Below are 24,052 nucleotides of genomic sequence, written 5' to 3'. Positions count from 1 at the left end.
TTGATTTCCTTCTTTCCTTTTCTTTCTGATTCCTTCTCTGTACCTCTTTCTTCTTATTTATTCTCCCCCTTTTTATGCCAAGCATTGCATAGGCACTGAACAGATAAGACAAATGATATGCTGGTTTCTGTGAAGAGTAATGAGAAAATAGACAGTAGTAGTAAACTAGAGGCACTGTAAAAGAGCTAAGGGACTGATATTATAATTTGGCATCAAGCACACAGCAGATTAGCTGACTTACGCTTCTAGCTCTAGTCACACTTTCACAAAGCAGGTCCATCATTTATTACCTGTGCAATGGACTTCTAACGTCTCTTCTTTGTGTTGCCTACAAGTCCATCCTTCCCACAGCTGTCAGCCTTCTCATCAGATTTCTCACCAGCTTAGAAATTTACTTCCAATCAATCAACTCATTCATTCATTTGACTATTTACCCAGTGATGAATGTACAGTCATGCATTGGTTAACAGGTGGAATATGTTCTGAGAAATGCATTATTAGGTGATTTTGTCATTGTGTGAACATCATAGAGTGTACTTACACAAACTTAGATGATATAGCCTACTATGTACCTAGTCTATATGGTATATATTGTTCCTAAGCTACAAACCTATATAGCACATTACTGTACTGAATACTGTAGGTAATTATAATATAATAGAGTTTGTGTATCCAAACAGATCTAAACATAGAAAAGATACAGTAAAAATACAGTATAAAACACAAAAAAAGGGTATACCTGTATTACGCACTTATCAAAAATGGAGCTTATAGGACTGGAAGTTGCTCTGGGTGAGTCATTGAATGAGTGGTGAGTGAATGTGAAGGCCTAGGACATTACTGTACACTACTCTAAACTTTATAAACACTGTACACTTAAGCTACACTAAATTTATAAAAAATATTTTTCTTTCTTCAATAATAAATTAACCTTAGCTTACTCTAACTTTTTAACTTTGTAAACTTAAAAAAAATGGTAAACTTTTTGAATCCTTTTAAGTAACAGCTTAAAACACAAATGCATTGCTATGGTTGTACAAAAATATTTTGTTTCTTAATATCTTTATAAGCTTTTTTCTCTTTAGTTTTTTTTTTTTTAACATTTCAAACTTTTTGTTAAAAATGAAGACAGGAACACACAAATTAGCCTAGGCCTACACAGGTTCAAGATCATCAATATCACTGTTTTCCATCTCTACGTCTTGTCCCACTAGAAGGTCTTCAGGGGCAATAACGCACATAGAGCTGTCATCTCCTATGATAAGAATGCCTGCTTCTGAAATTCCTCCTGAAGGACCTGCCTGAGGCTGTTTTACAGTGAACTTTCTTTTTATGAGACAAGAACACACTAATGATAAAAAGTAAATACATAGATCAAGTAACATAGTCATTTACTATCATCAGCAAGTATTAGCTACTCTATATAATTGTATGTGCTATGCTTTTATAAGACTGACAGTGTAGTAGATTTGTTTACACCAGTGTCACTATAAACATGTGAGTTATTCCTTGTGTTACAATGTTAGGATGGCTACCACCACTAGGCAGTAGAAATCTTTCAACTCCATTGCAATACCATGGGACCACCATCATATATGCGGTCCAGTGCATGACTGAATTTGGATATGTTTTCTTCCAGAAATTTTTCTATGCATAATTTTTAATAATTTATTACATCGCTTTTTTTTTTTTTTTTTTTGAGAGAGTCTCACTCTGTTGCTCAGGCTGGAGTGCAGTGGTGTGATCTCAGTTCACTGCAACCTCTGCCTCTCAGGTTCCAGTGATTCTCATGTCTCAGCCTCCTGAGTAGCTGGGACTACAAGCGCGTGCCACAACGCCCAGCTAATTTTTGTATTTTTTAGTAGAGATGGGGTTTCACCATGTTGGCCAGGCTGGTCTCGAACTCCTGACCTCAAGTGATCCACCTGGCTCGGCTTCCCAATGTTCTGGGATTACAGACGTGAGCCACCATGCATGGCATATTACATCACTCTTAAGGTAAAAGTCTTTATTCCAGGGATTTGATAAATTTTAGTTTACATTTTCTTTTTCTACAATTTATCTTTCCTTATTTCTTAATTTTTAAATTTTATAAGTTTTTTGGTAATAATCTTTACATAAAGCTGAAATTTATTTTGGACCCAAATTGATTATAGTCTCCAAAGACCAAAAAATAACCTCTAAAACAGATATTGAATTTTTCTTCATTGTCTGGAGATTATGCTAGATTTTTAAAGTGGGTTGCTTGGAATCTTCATATAGCTATGCAAGACAGGCATCTTCACATCTATTTTATAGCTGAGAAACCAGAAATTCTGAGAAGTTAAATCATTCTTCAGAGGTCAAACAAGTTGTAGTGATATACTGAGACTCAAATTTGGTGCTAATTCAGAATTTATGGTCTCTAGTTCACTAGGAAGCCTAAATGTGGAATTAGTCTTTACATACTTCTTTTCAAAGCTGTATGTCAGATTTTTGCCTGATCTTTCTTTCCGATCAACATTAGAAATATTTTGTTGTTTTTAAAAATATCACAATACACTTCTGATTGGATTTTGTATAATATATACATATAAATTAATTTGGGAAAATGGTATTACATTATGTGTTATCTTTTATCCAGGAATATAATTTTTTAGATGTATTTTAGTAAATTTTTAATAGTTTTTTTCATTTAGGTCTAATGTATTTCTCAATAAGGCCATTTATTGCTATGGTCTGAATGTTTGTGTCCTCCTCAAATCATCTGCTGAAATCCAACCCCTGAAAGTGGTTGGAAGTGAGGCCTTTTAGGAGGTCATTGGGTCAGAAAGGTGGAGCACTAATCAATGGAATTAGTGACAGATATGGTTTGGTTCTGTCCCCACCCAAATCTCGTCTTGAATTGTAGTTCCCATAATCCCCACGTGTCGTGGGTGGGACCTAGTAGGAGGTAATTGAATCTTAGGGGTGGCTACCCTCGTGCTGCTGTTCTCATGATAGTGAGTGAGTTCTCACAAGATCTGATAGTTTTATAAGGTGCTTTCCCCACTTTTGCTTGCACTTCTCCTTGCTGCCAGCATGTGAAGAAGGATGTGTTTGCTTTCCCTTCTGCCATGATTGTAAGTTTCCTGAGGTCTCCCCAGCCATGCTGAACAGTGAGTCAATTAAACATCTTTCCTTTATAAATTACCCAGTCTCAGGTATGTCTTTATTAGTGGTGTGAGAACGGACTAATACAATGACCTTATAAAAGAGGCCCCAGACTGCTGCCTTGCCCTTCCACCATGTGAAGACATAGCAAGAAGACACCATCTGTGAACCAGGAAGTGGTTCCTCACAAGACACTAAATCTGCTGGTGCCTTGATCTTAAACTTCCCAGCCTCCAGAACTAGGAGAAATCAATTGTTATTGTTTATAAGCTTCCCAGTTTCTGGCATTTTGTTATAGCAGCCCTAATGGGCTAAGACATTAATTTTTTGTTGTTACTGCAAATGATACATTTTTCATTTTGCGTTCTAACTAGTTATTTTTTACCTATGAGAAGATATCAACTTTTAAAATACTTTTGTATACATGCTGGAGTTTTAGAAATCAAGTGTTGCAATGTCTTCAGTTTTCTTTCAAATGTCTTAGCCAAAAAATAAAAAAAGAGAGAGAAAAATACACAAACAAATAGAAATATGAATCAAATGAGAAAAAAAGCCAATGTAGCAAAATTTTAACAGTTGGTGAATCATGGTTAAAAATGCAAGTGTTCATTGTACTACTCTTTCAGCTCTTACAGATGTAAAAGTTTCTGAAATGAACAGCTGAAAAAATGATCCCATCTTTCATCATTTTATTGAACTCTCTTATTCTCACATTTATGTGCTGATTTTTTGTATAGTGAAGTTCCAGGTACACAACAGTATCAATTGTAAATTATCATAATTTTCTCTTATCTTTCCTAATAATAACACATAATTACTGCCTTACATCTTTTTGAAATTAGTCAAAATTTCACGAACAATGTCAAATAAAAACACCGGATATAATTTTGGTACTGTTCTTGCCATGTCTAATTGATACGACTCTAAATGTAATTTCTTTTTTAGGTATAAGATTGATATCTATCCATCATCTGTTTATCTTCATTATTATTTAATTTGTTAAGAAACTTTTCTTTGTTGTCCATAAATTATCCTTCAGCATGACTGATAAATTTTATCAATGTGTTGAAAGTACATTTTTTTCTAGTATTACTAATATTTAAGTTTTGCTAGTTTTTCTTACTAGAGACTAACAAATGGTGCCAGCAAAATTCAAGGGACATGGTAAATGCATAATAAATGTCTGTTAAATAAATGAGAAGCAAGGATTAGAGAAAGAGTACAATGAAGAGAAGAAGAATAAAAATAATTTGGATCTTTCACTCATGGTGCCGCCATAGTTTTGACTTAAGAGAGATTTGTTCTATTAGAAGTCTAAATATTGCTTTCATAAATTACACTGAAATTTGGAGTTGATTTCTCCTCTTAATCTGGTGCTAACAAATAAAGACGTAGGGTTTCTCAAAGCCTAGAGAAGGGCTGCAAGTCAATCTTGATGTTCCCCTGTCCTATGCTAATATGTGTTATATCGTGACCCTAAAAGTTAGTTGTTGGGTTGTGAAGAGAAACTCAGTGTCATTGTGTTCTAGATACTATTAAGGGTTCTGAGAGAGGCAACTTAAAACTCAAAATCTGGCTGGGCACAGTGGCTCACGCCTGTAATCCCAGCACTTTGGGAGGCCGAGGTGGGTGGATCACAAGGTCAGGAGTTCGAGACCAACCTGGCCAACATGGTGAAACCCAGTCTCTACTAAAAATACAAAAATTAACTGGGCATGGTGGTGGATGCCTGTAATCCCAGCTACTTGGGAGGCTGAGGCAGAGAATCGCTTGAACCTGGGAGGCAGAGGTTGCACCGAGCCGAGATCGTGCCACTGCACTCCAGCCTGGGCGACAGAGTAAGACTCTGTTTCAAAACAAAACAAAAACGCTCAAAATCTGTGCTGGTGCTTACCTGTGTCCCAGCTACTTGGGAGGCTGAGGTGGGAGAATCCCTTGAGCCCAGAGGGGTTTGAGGCTGCAGGGAGCTATGATTGTGCCACTGTGCTTCAGTCTGGATGACAGAGTGACACTGTCTCAGAAAAAAAAAAGCCTCGAAAGCACCATCATCGTTAAGATTAATATTGCTTGTTTTAATCACAGCGATAATAGGAATGACTATAAATATTTTTAAATGTCTTAAGATGTTTCACAACATCTTAGTGGTTTTTTGTTTGCTTCATGAAAGACTGAAAGGCAGTCAGCTACAGGGAGCTAAAGGTGGCCAGTGGATGAGAAAGAGCTTGAATTTTGAAGGTGGAGCTAGGCTGCGCCACTAACTAGCTATGAGGACTTGGTAAAGTAGCTCAGCTCCTTTAAGCTTCTAATTCTGATCACTTCACAAAGCTTTGTGAGTATTAAAAGTAAAGAAAATTATATAAATGCTGACACATAGTAGGTGCTCAATATATGTTAGTTTTTTGTCTTAACTTTTTTTCTTTTCTTCATATGCAGCGTTTTTACAATGTGTAAATGCTTGTTTACTCTGTTATGAATAACAATGTAGTGGACGTCATTACAGTGGAAGAAAATGACGACTAAGGAATCTGCCTTTGTGTTGCATAACTTTACAGTCTTTCTTGTCATACAAATAGAATCTGTAAATAATGTCTCCAGCGGTTTTCTAGTGGTTTTCAACTACTTTCTCATTTTACGAAACTATTAAAAATGAGCTTTAACATTGATTAGTAGCTTTAACATCTGATTACCCATTGCAAGTTACCTTTTTCCCTTTTAGTATACTTTTCATGATATACTATGTAGGAGAAATGTGTAAGAAATCTTAACTTCTAGATAATAAACTAAAGGAAAATTAGAACAAAGACAAATTAAAGTTAGAAATAGTGGTAAGAAAAATTGCATGGTTTTTGTAACATGCTGGATAAGGAGGCTATTTCCAAATATCAGAAAGGTAAGAAAGCTCTCCCTTAATTTTGTCAACCTTGTTAATGCATCATAATAAAGGATGAGCAATTCTTTTAGAATTATTTTTGGGTAGTGCCATGAAAAATAACAAATCATATTATAGTGGTAAGCTAACATTTGAAGTCTAATTTTACTTGACATTTTTTCTGGTATGTGAAGAACTATATTTGCTAAGAATACAATCTATCCATTGAAATATCTAAGTTATTAAGCAGTGGAACAAAACAATGCTGCCATTATATAGTACTCGAAACTGACAGATAAGAGCTGATTCTTCTAGCAAACATATACTTTGAGAAGACTTGCCTCTCAACCCACAAGTAAAACTCACTGAACACAGAACAATGTACCATTGACCATGAAAGCTTTAACATGCTATACATTTTTTGGACGTGATATTCCATCCATCCATCCAACCATCCATCCATCCATTCATCTATGCAACTGCCCATGCTTTTATATTTAAAAAACAAATTACCTGAAAATACCTTTCTGTGCTTTTGTTTCTACAAAAATAAACCTGATTTTTCAGCCAAAGTCATTATCCTTTTTCTATTTAGAAATATATATTTGTTTAGAAACATGAGATGTAGGACAAGGTCCCTAACAAGTGGTCTCTAAATATTGTATGAATCAATGTCTACTGGAAATGAGACAAATCAATTATTAATTCATATTACCTACTAATAGCTATTTTTAAATGGTTGCTTCTAAAATTTACCTAGTTTCTAGTTCTATGTAATTATTTGAACTTATGCAAAATGAATCTACCTGTGATGGCATATTTTGGAAGGAGTTTTACCATCTTGTTATTAATAATATAGAGACGTAGACTAAATAATAGTATAGCTAGTGAATTTGTAGCTGTTTGAACAATGGTCACAGAGTTTTGATTAATGGATCAATATCAAACTGGAGTAGCGTCTCCAGTGACATGCCAGAAACATCTGTCCTAGATATTTTTTCCTCATAGTTTATATGAATAATTTGAACAAAGACTTAGGCAAACAAATCATGTTTGTAGAAGCTGCAGAACTGTGAGAACTATATTAAAATATTGAACCTATCAAATCAATACAAAATCAACACAATGACGTTCAATAGTCACACACATACACACACACACACAAATACACATATCCCAAATGTAAACTATGTGCATATATAATATGCATATATATATACATGCACTTCATGAAATATGCATCCATCAAAAAGTAACTTATAAATAGAATACCCAACAACATAGTAAGATGCTTGTGATTAATGCTAAAAACCCAGAATACACATTAGATAATCTTAATCTATGTAAACAATTATATGTCAATGAAAAATTCAACATATATACCCCAAATGTTATCTTTATTTTTCTGCTACATGTTATCTGTTAGTTCTACTTCTTTTTGTTTTAATTTTTATACTGAACGTATATTTCTAAAAATAATTATATAATTATTTAATTTTATGAATATAATTAAACAAATGGAAAAAGATTGAGGATGCCTGGCTTAAAACAGTTAATATTAATGGCTAATGATTGTTGCAGTTTGTTAAATATCTTGTGCTTTCTGTACTTTACCTCATTCAATCCTTGTAACAGACTTTAATTAACTTAAGCCTGACAATACCTATATGAGGTAAGTATCAACATTATTCTCATTTTAAAATTCAAGCTTAAAGGCCACATTATTAGTGTCATGCTCTGAAAAGATAAACATGAATGCTCAGTGGGGCCAATAAATAGCTTTACAAGTTATAGTAAGGAGATTATGTATGTAATGTATTTGCCTTAGTATTAACAAGCAGAAAGCTTTTATGATTAGCTGTACATGTTGCTATGTATACGTACACACACACACACACATACAAAGATGGTGGTAGTAGTAGGTGCTGTCAGGATCATCTTACAATATTTAAAGTGTTTAAAGTGTTATTTTGGCAGGGCACAACTGCTCACAACTGTAATCCCAACACTTTGGGATGCTGAAGTGGGAGGATCAGTGGAGCCCAGGAATTTGAGACCAGCCTGGGCAACAGAGCAGGACCCTGTTTCTACAAAAAATACAAAAATTAGCTGGGCATGGTGGTGCATGCCTGTAGTCCTAGCTATTCGGAAGGCTGAGGCGGGAGGATGGCTAGAGTCCAGGAGGTTGAGGCTGCAGTGAGCTATGATTGCACCACTGCACTCCAGCCTGGGCATCAGAGTGAGACTCTAAAAAAAAAAAAAAAAAAAAAAAAAAAGAGAAAAGAAAAAAGAAAGTCATCTTACTGAAAAGAAAGAAGACTTTTTTTTTTTCTGGCAATTTCAAAGGACCGAACTAGGACAAACATTGTGGAAATTACTGAATGAAAATTTCCTTTCAATATGAAATTCCTAAGAGATTGACTTACTTAGCCCTTTATTTCTGGAAATAATACAGAATCTGAATGATCATGTATCAGCAATATTTCATAAAGGATTTATGTCGAGTGAGGATTTTTATTAGATCTTCTATTTGTTTAAAGCTCTGCAGTTCTTTTTAACGCTTTTTCCGTAATTCAATTATATCTTATCTTCCTTAATTCTTAATTATTTTCCATGTTCCTCACACATATCTCATATTAAGAAGTGCATCCTTTTCTTTACTGCATTATTCTCAATGTAGACATTTGTTATTGGAACAGAATGAATGTTCCACTCACCTTCACAGCTAGAAACTATTTAACATTACTTCATTCTGGGCTTCAAGTGTCCATTACAAATAAATCTGAGTTTTGGATGAACCTGATAAGATGGATGTTGTCCAAAGAAATCAAATATCATCTCCTTTCCATAAGATGGGGCAGTTGGTGTCTCAAAGGCTTGGTCTGGGCAATGATTTGGAATTTGGAGCCAAAGAAGGTGGAGGCAATTAGCACAGACAAGTCTTTGGGGTTTCTGAGGTCAGTAAACAAGGCAAACAGTCTGGGAACAGTTGCCAAAACTAAATGGAACAAAACAAGGAGGATGAACCAATTCTCAGAGCCAAGAGGGTAGAAAGCAAGAGCAGAGGATTTCTGTAACGGGTTAGAGCAATGGGGTGAAGGCAAGAGTGGAGGAATTCTCTAATCCAGATTTCAGATGATGCCACATCCACAGCCTTAGTGAGTGTGGCCGTGGCGAGGAGGGGCATATGCTGAAGTTCACTCTCAAGGGACACCTTCAGGCACGAGTTTATTAAAAAGTATTTAATGACTGCATCATATGAACAAACACTTCGCTAAGTACATTGAGAACTACAAAAACAACACAGGCATACATCTTGTTCTCAAGAGATTACTTTGTAATAGATTGGAAAGATATAAATAGAAATAGAATAACAAGTATATGAATATATAATTATACATAAGTTAAGGGGTAGGAGAAAATGGACTTATTTATCACCTGGTTAGTAAATACGTAAGTGGGCAAATATGAGAGGAAGATTGGAAATAATTTGGAAGAAAACATTTCTAAAGCTTTTCAAGACATATTACACCATCTTAAAACTTTCTAGTTCGGTACAATTCTTCCAAACAGAATTGATGAAAAGAACTACACAAAATAACAGTAAATAAAGCTTTAGTGTTAAGAGGAAACTGGCAATCAACCAATCCATGCCCTCTGCTTTACAGATGGAGTTACCGCAGCCCAGAGTGGTTGGAGGGCTCGCCTGAATGACACAGCAGTTCTGTTTGTTAGCACTCCGTTTGTCTAATTAATGGGCACTCACAGGAAATGATTGTTCATGTGAGTCTGTATTAACTAGTGGTAAACCAGTTTTAAATTTCACATGGATAAGTTTGATAAATCTGGTGTTCAACACCTGAAAGCATTGAGACTGATAAACCTGTTCAAAATGATGCATAAACATTTATACAACTCCCAAGCCGTGTGATGGCTGACTGATATATGTACCAACACTGTGTGAAAATGCCTTTTGGATTCCATTATTACTTCTTCTGGGGCTTCTTCAGAATGTACTATTAGAACATGCATTATTACAAATATTATGTTTATCTCATCAAACGCTGGCATGGAGCATGCCAGCCATCTCCCTTCTACTGCCTTTAGACCAAGTCATTGCCAAAAAAATGAATTCTTAATGTTTTCTATTGTGATTTAATATTTGCACTAGAAAATGATCCTGAAGCTTGCATTTTTCTATGATGTCTTCTACATTTGCTTTTCAGAGTAATTGAGGGAACCAAAAATGTAAAATATGGTTTGTAGGTGCTCAGTGGTTTTAATTTTATAATGTCTAACTCTATTTATTCAATTTTTGCAATGAACTTTGAGGACAAATAGCATTATTTTGCCTGGATTTATGTGAGAAATCTCAGACACAGAAAGGTCAGAGTGTGTGAGTGATAGAAACAGCAACAACAACAACAAAAATCTGTGGATTAATGACAAGCTTTTATTCCCCTAGAAGCTCTTTTTCCCCTAGAAGCTCTTTTCCAACAAATATGGTATCGGTAAAATTCAATAAAGAAATTCTTTGTAGCCTTCATTTTAGTTATATAAATAATTATTTGTAGTTTCAGCAAGGTGTTAAAAGAAAAGGGTTATTAATATTATAGATATAACTGCCAATTCAAAATATTCTTGGCATTAAATTTGTCTTTTTCAGTAATTTTCTTAGACAACACTACAATATTCAAAAACATATGGTGTTTACAATTTCACCCACAGGCTATTTTTCCAAAATGACTTCACTGATGGGCAATCATAGGATTTTCAAAATAGATTTTCAATGTAAAATTTTACTTCCTCCATCCTTTATCTGATTCTTAACCCTTTGCTACAGTCACACCATTCACCAAAATGGGCAACACACTTATTATGCTGTGGGAATAGTAAAATTTGCATGTTTTATTTCACAATCTATCTAAAGCAGAAATGAGTTTATTATTTTATTTATATATGCAAATGTATAAACACATGTGATGGTATTATGTGTATGTGTATATTATTCATTCTTTCTCTTTATACATTCTACATAAACCTACAAACTGATATTTATTTGAGGATATAGAACCAATTTTATTTATTGTGCAAGGTCTAACACAAGATTTTAGTCATGACCACTACTCAGAACAGTAGAGAAGTTTGATTAATACAGCAGTTCCATTTTCACACACTTTGAGCAATAAGACATCTATAAGGCCAATCTGGAGTCCAGAGCATTCAAAATAGTTAGTGTATGTGGAGTAAATTCTTTACTGACAATTAGGAAGTAGTAATTTCTAGCTATATTTTTGTGAACATGTACTATATCTCTGATTCTTGAAATATAACTTCATTTTATTTTAAGTTAGAGTTAAGGTCTTACTCTGTCACCCAGGCTGGAGTACAATGGCATAATCATAGCTAACTGCAACCTTGAACTTTTGGGTTACAGGGATCCTCCTGCCTCAGGCCTTCCAAGTAGTTAGGAGTACAGGTATGCACCTTTGTGCTTCATTATTTTTAAGTTTAATTTTTATTTATCTATTTACTTATTTTGAGACAGGGTGTCACTTTTGCCCAGCCTGGAGTGCAATGGTGCGATCTCTGCTCACTACAACCTCCGCCTCCTGGGTTCAAGTGATTCTCCTGCCTCAAACTCCCGAGTAGCTGGGATTACAGGCATGCACCACCATGCCCAGCTAATTTTTTATATTTTTAGTAGAGACGGGGTTTTGCCATGTTGGTCCAGCTGGTCTCAAACTCCTGATCTCAGGTGATCCACCTGCTTCAGCCTCCCAAAGTGCTGGGATTACAGGCATGAGCCACCGTTCCTAGCCACTAATTGTTATTTATTTACTTTTTTTTTTTAACAGGGTCTGGCTATGTTGCCCAGGCTGGTCTCAAATTCTTGTCCTCAAGTGATCATCCTGCTCGGTCTGCCAAAGCACTGGGATTACAGGCATGAGCCACTGCACCTGGCCACATTAATTTTTCTAATTCTGCAAGTTAGACATTGTTGAGAACTAAGTCACATGGAAATGAAGTCATTTGTCCCACATGATACAGATATGAAGTGCTAACCAGAATTTGAACCAAGATTTGTCTGGTTCCAAAGATTCAATAAAGGAGAGTGGGATGTGATGGTGATCTGTTAAGGCAGAATGTTGAGCAATTCTACTAAACCACGATTGATCATTTGAGCGCTGCCCTAGCCTATTGTGCAAGAGGTTCGGAGGATCATGTACACTTGTATGCATATGATCTGTCCAATTTGTCAAAAAAGTGGAAAGGAATAAGGTGCACTTATGAAGGGCTCTAGTCCTGGAGTCATTCAGATCTAAGTTGGGGCTCAAGTTATGTTGCATTCTAATTACATGACCTGGGCAGGTTATTTACCTTCAATACGTTTCAATTTTCTCATTAGCAAATTGATCCTAGTGTTAGCATTATTAAGGATGGTTATTGCAATTTATTGAGATAATCCATGTGAAATCTGCTTTAAAGGGTGCTTGGAGTATATTACGCACCCAAAGGTGTACTGTTAATTCTTATTACGATAAAATGTAAAAGTTACAATATTCACTTATATATTTATCTAGTTACTTTATTATAACACAAAAACTACTGCTCTAAAATAGTTCTAAATGGTACAGGAGCTCACCAAGAAAGATAATAGAATAACAAGTATTCAGAGTTGGAATGCCATGAAGGGCAAATGATAGATCATATCTTAAAATACACATTTTTGTGCTTTATTCAAACGATAGAAACGGTAGACTCTTGCTTGCAGCTACGCTGGCTAGTGACCTAGTACAATGGACAATTGCTTGATATTTTAAGGCATTTGCAAGGGAATGAATATTTAACGAAAGTGTCCATATTAAACACTCACAGTATTTTTCCTTTTTTCAATGAGGAAACTGAGTTTCAGTTAGATTGAATAGTCTGCCCAACATTTTGTAGGTGACAGAGCCAGGATTCACGGTCAAGTCTAATCTGCCTCAAAGCCTGTGTTCTCTCCATGATTTCAGGTGTGTGGTTTAAGAATTGGAAAGGGCCAGGAACCAGGACTTAATCTAGTCTTACTTCTGCCACTAACAGGCTATGTGACCTTGGCTAAGTCATTTGACTTCCTTGAACCTCAATTTCCTTTCCTTTTGGAATACAAAGACATGAAATTGACAGTGGTGTTGAAATCTTTTGTGAGCCAGGACTTTTTTTTTTTTTTTTTTTTTTTTTTTTTTTTTTTTTGAGACGGAATCTCGCCCTGTGGCCCAGGCTGGATTGCAGTGGCGCGATCTTGGCTCACTGCAAGCTCCGCCTCCCGGGTTCACGCCATTCTCCTGCCTCAGCCTCCCGAGTAGCTGGGACCACAGGTGCCTGCCACCACGCCCGGCTATTTTTTTTTTTTTTTTTTGTATTTTTAGTAGAGACGGGGTTTCACCGTGTTAGCCAGGATGGTCTCGATCTCCTGACCTCGTGATCCGCCCGCCTCGGCCTCCCAAAGTGCTAGGATTACAGACGTGAGCCACCGCGCCCGGTCGAGCCAGGACTTTTAAAGGGAATTCCTATGTGCTTGTTGAAGCCTCCCTGTGTCTCGCAGCTCAGGATGGTTTCCAGAATAGTGCTTAGTCCGGGTAGTCAGCAAGTGTCAGCGAATTAACCTTCAATGGCCCTTCCATCAGCAAGGGACAAGTGTTGGTAGATAAATATTTCCGCCTTCTCTCCTGCAGCGAAACTGTTGTAAGAGGCATGTTCCACAGTCTGTCAGAGGGTCCCAGCCAGATGGAGTGCCTGCCATTTGTCCACAGTGGTAATCCTCTTAGTAATACCTTTATTAGGTTTCCTTCTTCGACCCCTTCCTCTCCATTTCCCTCACAGTGCTTCCTGGATTTGCCTCTCAAATAAAATATTTGCACCCAAATCTTGTCTTCTTTTGGAGGAATCTACGCTAAGACAAGATTCACTATATAAAACAGGTTAAAAATGGTCGAAGCAGTCCCATATGCTCAGTGACCTTCTTGCTTCTCTGAGGTGGATCCTAAGAACAACTGCTAGGCTGGTTTTTATTGAACATGGTTTGGAAATCTCTCGAACAAATGATTCCTGAGACCCACCCCAATTCCAATGCTATCATTTTGTGAGTTTTATTATTCATCTGAATTCTTACAACTGGTGTTTGGTAACCAGAAGAAACCTGCAAGGTGATGGTGAGTGAATAGCGGTCTTTGAAATAGCACTTTCAGATTTTCTTATGCTATGTAAATGTAAATTGTCATTTTTTTCAATTAAAAAAATAGATGGAATCTTTTCTACTTATAAGCTATTCCTTTATAAACTAAAACATTAACTTTTTAATATTGATTTAAGAAAACCCATCTAGTGCAGATGGATTTATTTTTCTCCAAGATGTATGATTTTTAAACTCCTCAGGATATTTGATCTTGTTATTTTTAATGTACTTTAAAAACGTTCTTTTTCTAATTTTAACTTCAATCTGTGTTCATTGTAGATAATTTAGGAATTACAGGCAATGTTGAAGAAAATGAAAATCATGTTTTTCCTTCTATTCTTAGATTTTATTTGTATATATGCTATAAATCAGCACATATGTAAACACATACACATAAATATATACTTAAAACATTAGGATAATATTTATAAATAGTTTTGTATCATTTGAAAAGCATAACATTGTTTCACAGTATTTTTCAGTGTTAATAAATATTCTTCAAATCATCCTATGCCATATTTGATTTGATTTTTTTTCCTATTTTTGGACACTGATACTGCTTCTTATGTGTCACCATTACATGAAAAAAACTTGCAAAAATCTTTGCCTAACTCTCTGATTTAAAATTAATTCTTAGGCGTAGAATTACTGGTTCCAAAGGTAGGAGCAACATTAAGTCTCTCGATACATTTTATCTTTGAGAAAGTCAGCATATTCCAATTAGAAACATGTGAGAGTGGCTTGCTTTCTTTTATTTCTTCTTCTTACTTTCCCCCCATCATTTAAATAGCATTGAAGAAAAAGATTGAAAAGGGAAAACTCCTGCTTGTAGCAGCTCTGCCTGGTGACTGGGTAGACTACTTTATTAATTGGATTTTAGAAGCTATGCCCAGTATTTTCAAGAACTGTTTATTCTAAAACTGTGAACGCTGCTCAGAGCTTATATAGCTTTGCCTTTGCTATTAATACAGGCCACAATTTAGATCCTGTGTTTTTTCCTGTGGAAAAGCATCATGGGCCAGAAAAATCGTGGTAAAGATTTGCTCATTCACACAATTTTGTTCATTCTAAGCAGAGGCTGAGATGCCATGCATGCTTCGTGACACAGAGGAATGGAAGTTTGCTTTTGACAAAAGAAGAAAAAAAAATCTTAGCTTTTCAATAGCAGGTAGCAGAACATAAAACACAATACGGAGTTAAAAATTTCCCCCACTCTTTAGAAAAAAAATACTGATATCTCATTTGGATGTTTTCTTTTTTTTATTGCAGTATTATGCAAGGAAAGTGGTACTTAAAAAGCCATAATCCGTTGCTAAAGGCATTCGTTTCCTTTTACAGCTCAGGTGCAAATGCAATATGCTATGAAAGACATGTTACAGGCTTTAATGTTTCTTCTAATAAACAGGATAGGATCGTAGTCCATGTGAATTTTTGAATCCTAGAAAATTTCAACTAAGAACTGCAGTGAAGATAGAGATTTAAAACCACAGCAGGAACTCAAAACCAAGCTAACATAGTCCATTATTAAAGGAGACACTTTCTTACATGAGAATAAACTTACTAAATTATTCTCTCCTTTCAGTTAAGTATTTACAGAACAGTTTGAGTCTGTGAAAAAATATTTTGTGGTATCAGAAAGCATTCGAATGTTTCAGGTGAGAAATTTAATAGCCACCTTTTCAGAGACACTTGGGGATTTTCAACGATCGGGTTAGAACATGCAGGCGCATGTCATGTGGTTAGGTAGACTTTGCAGGCCTTAAGTACTACCGTCTAAACCTCAGTGTGTTGTTTCTTCACCCTCCTTCCCTCTGTCTGGTCTGTTTATGTATGTGGGAGAAGGCTTGTTGAGTGTGGCTGATCTCTCCCAGCTGCGGCCTCTTCATTGACTCTAATTTCTTTCTCCATAGCTCATTTGGACCCAAGCAGTGGTGAAATTGCTGACTGGTGAGTGTGTCCTGCCACAAAAGCCATAGGCAAGATGTGGCCACAACCAAAAGAGCATGAAAGATGGAAAACACCATCTGGATCATGCAATTCAAATCACATCAACTTCTCTTTTTTTCATTTAAGAAAAATCATCCATGCAGCCTTTTGTTGCTTTCTGCTGTGGCCAGAAACCACTTAGGTTGCAATCCTCTGTTAGTGAAAGAGAAAGTCCAAAGGGACTCCAGTACATACATTGCCCCCTTTCAAGTTTTATGCACAGTTTTTTTTGGGGGGGATTGGGGAGAGTCCACAACTCTGTAGACTTTTATTCAGCTTGGAACCATAGAAAGTAGCTTCTGACTGTACCTCTGTCATTGATCGCCCCGAAAGGGCTCACTGCACTCCATGGATTGTCATCCAGTTGTTAGATAAGGAGAGTTTGTTTTCTGTTTCAATATAGCTAATAACCCCAAAACGAGCAGGGAGTTCTAGAGAGTTCATGTTCATATCCATTTGGGAAAAAAAATATCACAATACCCTTCCCAGTTTTTCACCAGATTTAGTCAGTCTTTGGCTTTGCTGTGTGATGAAGATCTATAGTCTTATGTTGGTATATTTTGACAGTAGTATTTTATAACAAATAAATGATCTGGTTGCTTTTATTTTAATCAAGAATCAAGGCCCATTTTCTAGCCATGAGGATAATTAAATAATAATTTTGTCAGTGATTTGGGTTCATCACAGATAGCATTCATTTCTGTTGAGGGATGTTAGAGAAGTATTGTCATATAGTAAGAACGATACTGGAGTAAGTGTCAGCGACTGAGCTCTGTCACTAAATAGCTCAGTAACTTTAAGCAAGTCATCTAACCTCTTCTGCTTGTATCTTCATCTGTGATAGGAGGATTGAGATCTCCTCCTTCTCTGCAAAGCCACTTCTGAATCTTCAGAATGAAAAGTGGGGAGCAAAACGTAGATGGCATTGAATGATGTCTACTAAGTGCCAGCACGTGGAAGACTACTTAAAATGCTCTCTGTGTATTACCCATTGCAATTGTTAAAGGCAGTAGGCACAATATTATTATGTACATGTTGTAGGTGATGACATTGAGACTTAGAACATTTAAGGAATTTCCCAAAGCCTCAAATTACTTATAGGCAGAGCTGGAATAAAATCCCAAGTCTCCCTGGCACCAAAGCCTGTCTGCTTCATAATTATTGAGCATTTATTATGACCACAGAAGTTTTCTTAAACCAGCCCATTTAATCTTCCAAAAAAAAAAAAAGAAACCAAAAAACACTGTCAGGTTAATATCATAATTTCCATAATTTCCATGACGCAGATAAGGAAATTTCAGGGTAGAAAATTAAGAAACCTACCAAGAGTGGCGTGAGTTATGTAGAACAGGGGAGCTAAGATTTATTCTTATGTTAGCCTAATTCCCACAACCAAGCTCTTTCTACTACACCAATTGGATGCCTGGTAAACCCAAGTTTGTTGGAGAATTAGGTAGCTTTTTGTTTACTTTGGTTTTGACTTTAAGTTGGTAGGGTCAAATTCATTTGGCTAAATGTTAGGTAGTATCATGCAAAATGTTATTTATTTTCCTAATCTCTGGACATAGCCCATTCAAGCTGGACAAACCAATAAGACAAGTTTGGGTTAATTTTCAGAGCCCAAACAAAACCTTGGATAATCTGAGAGAGCAATGCATGATTGGCTGGGGAGGGTGATGTCACCAAGATCAGATCCATGCTATTCATTTTTATAAAATGGTCTTTTATAAAGTGAGATAATTTAAGAGTTCAAACGATCTCTTCAGGAAAGATGAGTAGATACTGTCTTGAAATTTGGAGAATATCATGGAACATCTCAGTTTTCTTGTTCTTTTTAACTTCACAACTTTTTTTTTTTTAATATAATGAAGGCATGACAATAAGTAGGTAGGGCATATGGGAATCTTCTCAAGTAAAAGCTACTAAAGAGAGAGTTTCATTTCAGGGTGACTGCATCCCACAGAAAGAGTGCTCTCCAGCTCCAGACTTGCACAGGGGGAGAGTCACGATCCTCTCTTTATGGAACATTGACATACCTGCAAATGAAAAGAAGTGCCTGTTCGATCTGCATAGCCAGAACACTGGGTCAGGAGTGTGACTAAGAGGTGGATCACCTTTCTACTGGCCTGGAAGGGCAGCTGAGGTGGTTCCCATCCTTATTTCTGGTAAGACTTCAGTGCATTTCACTGAGAGCTCCCCCAGCTGCCTCTGTCAAGGCTGAGACCTCGGCCTACCATCAGTATTGCATTTAGCCACCTGCTTTAGTCACAACCAATTTTTACCCATGGACACCTCCACTACTGGCATGAAGGCTGAACTGTTCATACTAGTAAATAAAATACTGGGGAAAAATAAATAAATCAATCAATGCAGACCACTGGGGTATAAGGAAGCTTCAAGGGACCTCTGTCATTCCAACCCCAAACCAGACAGTGAACCTGCTCACACACTGAGCACATTGCTACAACAACAAGCATTTGAGAAAGCCATCATACAAAGACTGCCTATAACTAAGGAACTCATATAAAGTCTTCATCCTTGAATGCAACAAGAGACAAATTAGGCTACAATGAACTATAAACATTAAAGCTGCATTCTTAAAGGGGAAGAAATTAAAAAAAACACAGTAGAGTAAAAAGTAAACTCCAGAATAATTAGAAGAAATAGTCTACTGAAATGAGAAGGAACCAGAAATATTATTCTGGCAATATGACAAAACAGGATGCCATAACATTCCCAGAAGATCACACTAGCTCTCCAGCAATGGCTACAAAATAAGATAAAATCTTTGAAATACCAGATAAAGAATTCAAGAGGTTGATTATTAAGCTATTCAAGGAGATACAAGAGAAAGGTGAAAACCAACATAAAGAAATTAAAAAGAACAATTCAGGATATGAATTAAAATTTTTCTGAAGAGATAGATATTTTAAAGACAATCCAATCAGAACTTCTGGAAATGAAAGACAAATTCAGGGAATTACAAAATGCAACGAAAAGTTTTAACAATAGACTAGACCAAGTAGAAGAAAATATCTCAGAGCTCAGAAATGAAGTTTTCAAATTAAACCAAACAGACAAAAATAAAGAAAAAAAAATCAAAAGAAATGAACAAAGTCTCCAAGAAATATGGGATTATATAAAATGGTCAAACCTAAGGATCAATGGTGTTCCTGAGGGAGAAACAAAAGCAAAAAGTTTGGAAAATTTATTTAAGGGAATAATTGAGAAAACTCCTCTAGCCTTGCTAGAGAATTAGATATCCAATTACAAGAAGCTCAAAGAACTCCTGGGAGATTTATTGCAAAAAGGACATCACTAAGGGATATAGTCATCAGACTACCTAACGTCAACATGAAGGAAAGTACTCTAAAAGCAGTGAGACAAAAGCATCAGGTAACCTATAAAGGAAAACCCATCAGACTAACAGCAGACTTCTTAGCAGAAACCTTATAAGCCAGAAGATGGGGTTCTATCATTAGCCTCCTTAAACAGAATAACTGTCAGCCAAGAATTTTGTATCTGGCCAAATTAACTTTTATAAGTGTAGGAGAAATAAAGTCTTTCAGACAAACAAATGCAGAGGGAATTTGTCACTACAAGACAAGTCCTACAAGAAATGCTAAAGGGAGTTCTAAATCTTGCAAACAAAGGTCAGTATGCACCAAAATAGAACCTCTTGAAAATATAAAACTCACAGGGCCTATAAAACAATAACACAATGAAAAAAAATATCTAGGTAACAACCAACATGATGACTGGAACAGTACCTCACATCTCAACATTAACGTGGAATATAAATGGTCTAAACACTCCACTTAAAAGATACAGATTGGCAGAATTGATAAAAAAAATCAAAAACCAAATATCTACTGCCTATAAGATATTCACTTAATACATAAGGATTCTTATAAACTCAAGGTAAAGGGGTGGAAAAAGATATTTCATGCAAATGGAAACCAAAAGCTAGCAGGAATAGCTATTCTTATGTAAGATAAAACAGACTTTAAAGCAACAACAGTAAAAAAAAAAAGACAAAGAAGATCGTTATATAATGATAAAAGAATCCAACAGGAAATTATTACAATCCTAAATATATGTAGCACCTAACTCTGGAGCTTCCAGATTCTTAAAACAATTACTACTAGACCAAAGGAAAGAAATAGGAGTATAATAATAGTGGGGAACTTCAATACTCCACTGACAGCACTAGAGAGATCACTGAGGCAGAAAGTCAATAAAGAAACAAAGGACTTAAACTACATTCTAGAAGAAATGGACCTAACAGATATTCATAGAACATTCTACCCAACAACTTCAGAATACACATTCTTCTCTTAAGCACATGGAATAGTCTCCAAGACAGACCATATTATAGGCTACAAAATAGGTCTCAATAAATTTTAAAAAATCAAAATCATATCAAGTATCTTCTCAGAACACAGTGCATTAAAACTAGAAATCAACTCCAAAAAGAACGCTCAAAATGATACAAATGCATGGAAATTGAAAAATCTGCTCCTGAATGATTTTTGGGTTAACAGTGAAGTCAAGAAGAAAATTTAAAAATTCTTTGAAATGAATGATAATAGTGACACAAGTTATTAAAACCTCTGGAATATAGCAAAAGCAGTGCTAAGAAAAAGTCTGAAAGATCCCAAATTAAGAACCTTATGTCATACCTCATAGAATTAGAAAAACAAGAACAAACCAAACCCCAAGCTAGCAGAAGAAAAACAATAATGAAGATCATAACAGAACTAAATGAAATTGAAAAATCCCCAGAGAACAATGAAACAAAAAGTTGGTTATTTGAAAAGATAAACAAAGTTTATAGACCATTAGCTACATTAACCAAAAGGAGGGAGAAAATTCAAATAAGTTCAATTGGAAATGAAAATGGAGATATTACAACTGACACCACACCACAGAAATGCAAAATATCATTCAAGTCTCCCACGAACACCTATATGCACAGAAATGAGAAAATCTAGAAGAAATGAATAAATTGCTGGAAATATATAACCCTTCTGAACTGAATCAGGAAGAAACAGAAATCCTGAACAGAATAATAACAAGCAGTGAGATTGAATCAGTAATAAAAAAAATTGCCAGGCCAGGCGTGGTGGCTCATGTCTGTAATCCCAGCACTTTGGGAGGCTGAGGTGGGTGGATTGTGAGGTCAGGAGTTTGAGACCAGCTTGACCAACATACTGAAACCCCACCTCTACTAAAAATACAAAAATTAGCCAGGCATGGTGGTGCACACCTGTAGTCCCAGTTACTCGGGAGGCTGAGGCAGGAGAATCACTTGAACCTGGGAGGCAGAGGTTGTGGTGAGCTGAGATCATGCCACTGCACTCCAGCCTGGGCAACATAGTGAGACTCCATCTCAAAAAAAAAATTGCCAACAACAAAAAAGGCTGGGGCCAGATAGATTCATAGCTGAATTCTACCAGACATTCAAGGAAGAATTGACATCAATCCCACTGAAACTATTCCAAAAGAGAAAGAGGGAATCCTCTGCAACTCATTCTATGAAGCCAGTATCACCCTGATACCAAAATCCAGAAAAAACATAACAACAACAAAAAAGAAAATTACAGACCAATAAACTTGATGAACAAAGATAAAAAATTTCTCAAGAAAATATTAGCAAACCAAATCCGACAAGACATCAAAAAGATAATACACCATGATCAAGTGGGTTTCATCCCAGGAACGCAGATGATTTAACAAACACAGTCAATAAATGTGATATAGCACATAAACAGATTTAAAAGCAAAAACCATATGATCATCTCAATAGATGCAGTCAAAGCATTCAATAAAATGTAGCACAATTTTATGATAAAAACTCCCAACAAACTAAGCATAGAAGGTAGATACCTCAAAATAACAAAAGCCATATATGACAAACCCTAAGCCAACATCATACTGAATGAGGAAAAGTTGAAAGCATTCCCCCGAGAACTGTAACAAGACAAACATGCCCACTTTCACCACTTCTATTCAACATAGTACTGAAAGTCCTATCCAGAACAAGCAGGCAAGAGAAAAAAATAAAAAGCATCCAGACAGGAAAAGAGGAGGTCAAACTACCTCTATTTGCCGATGATATGATTGTATGCCCAGAAAACCCTAGTCTTCTCCAAAAGACTTCTTGATTTGATAAATGAATTCAGTAAAGTCTCAGGTTACAAAATCAATGTATACGAATCAATAGCACTGCTATACACCAGCAACGACCAAGCTGAGAATCAAACCAAGAACTCAATCCCTTTTATAGTAGTTGCAAAAAATTAACATATCTAGGAATATACTTAACAAATGAGGTGAAAGATCTCTACAAGGAGAACTATAAAACACTCCTGAAAGAAATAATAGATGACACGAACAAATGGAAATACATCCTATGCTCATGGAATGGAAGATTCAATATGAAAATGACCACACTGACCAAAGCAATCTACAGATTCAATACAATTTACATCAAAATACCAACATTATTTTTCACAGAATTAGAAAAAACAATCCTAAAATTCATATGAAACCAAAAAAAGGGCCCAAATAGACAAAGCAATTCTAAGCAAAAAGAGCAAATCTGCAGGCATCACATTATCTGACTTCAAATTATACTACAAAGCTATAGTCACCAAAACAGCATGGTTCTGGTATAAAAGTACATATATAGACTAATGAAATAGAGAACCCAGAAATAAAGCCAAATGCTTACAATGAATTGACAAAGCATACAAAACATAAATTGGGGAAAGGACACCCTATTTAATAAATGGTGCTGGGAAAACTGGATAGCCACATGTAGAAGAATGCAACTGGATCCTTATCTCTCACCATATACAAAAATCAACTCAAGATGGGTCAAAGACTTAAATGTAAGACTTGAAATCATAAAAATTCTAGAAGAAAACCTAGGAAAAACTCCTAGGCTATTGGTCTCCTGGATATTGGCCTAGGCAAATAATTTATGACTAGGACCCCAAAAGGAAATGCAACAAAAGCATAAATAAACAAATGGGACCTAATTAAACAAAAAAATTTCTGCACTGCAAAAGAAATAATCATTAAACAGACAACTCACAGAATGGGAGAAAGTATCTGCAAACTATGCATCCAACAAAGCACTAATATCCAGAATTTACAAGGAACTCAAACAAATCAGCGGGAAATAAACCCTAAATAATTCCATCAAAAAGTGGGCAAATGACATGAATAGATATTTCTTAAAAGAAGATATAAAAATAGCCAAGAAACATATAAAAATGCTCAACATCACAAATCATCAGGGAAATGCAAATTAAAACCACAATGAGGTAACAGCTTCCCCCCACCAGAATGGCCACTATTAAAAAGTAGATGATCAAAGTAGATATCAAATAGATCTTGATATGGATATGGTAAAAAGGAATGCTTATATACTGCTTCTGGGAATGTAAATTAGTACAACCTCTATGGAAACAGTGTGGAGATTTCTCCAAGAACTAAAAGTAGATCTACCATTTGATCCAGCAATCCCACTACTGCGTATCTGCCTAAAGGAAAATAAGCCATTATACCAAAACAACACCTTCACACATGTGTTTATTGCAGCACAATTCACAATTGCAAAGATAGGGAATCAACATAAGTGCTCATTGACCAATGAGCAGATAAAGACAATTTGGCATGTATACACCATGGAATACTACTCAGCCATAAAAAAATGAAATAATGTCTTTTGCAGCAACTTGGATTGAGCTGTAGGCCATTATTCTAAGTGAAGTAACTCAGGAATGGAAAACCAAATACCGTATGTTCTCACTTATAAGTGGGAGCTAAGCTATAGG

General features: G+C 35.9%; 1 long non-coding RNA gene across 1 annotated transcript in view, besides 1 other annotated feature; it reads right to left on the bottom strand.

Moving 5' to 3' along the window:
* Positions 1-10: 10 nt before the first annotated feature.
* Positions 11-24,052, bottom strand: part of LOC105370768 (uncharacterized) — a 38,329-nt gene continuing 14,287 nt past the window's right edge. Inside the window, exon 3 of the long non-coding RNA XR_932110.1 lies at positions 11-127. This is a non-coding gene — a long non-coding RNA (uncharacterized LOC105370768). The remainder of the gene's footprint in view (positions 128-24,052) is intronic.
* Positions 4,551-5,203: an enhancer, noted in NCBI's record as "H3K27ac hESC enhancer chr15:36772043-36772695 (GRCh37/hg19 assembly coordinates)". NCBI's record gives its function as "activates a minimal SCP1, AML or CMV promoter by ChIP-STARR-seq in naive H9 embryonic stem cells {active_cell/tissue: H9 hESC(naive)}" and the evidence as "EXISTENCE:reporter gene assay evidence [ECO:0000049][PMID:30033119]".

Source organism: Homo sapiens, chromosome 15 (assembly GCF_000001405.40).
Source record: "Homo sapiens chromosome 15, GRCh38.p14 Primary Assembly".
In the NCBI taxonomy this organism is placed as follows: Eukaryota; Metazoa; Chordata; class Mammalia; order Primates; family Hominidae; genus Homo; species Homo sapiens.
The sequence above is the reverse complement of the archived record's forward strand: the minus strand, read 5'-3'. Positions and strand labels throughout refer to the sequence as shown.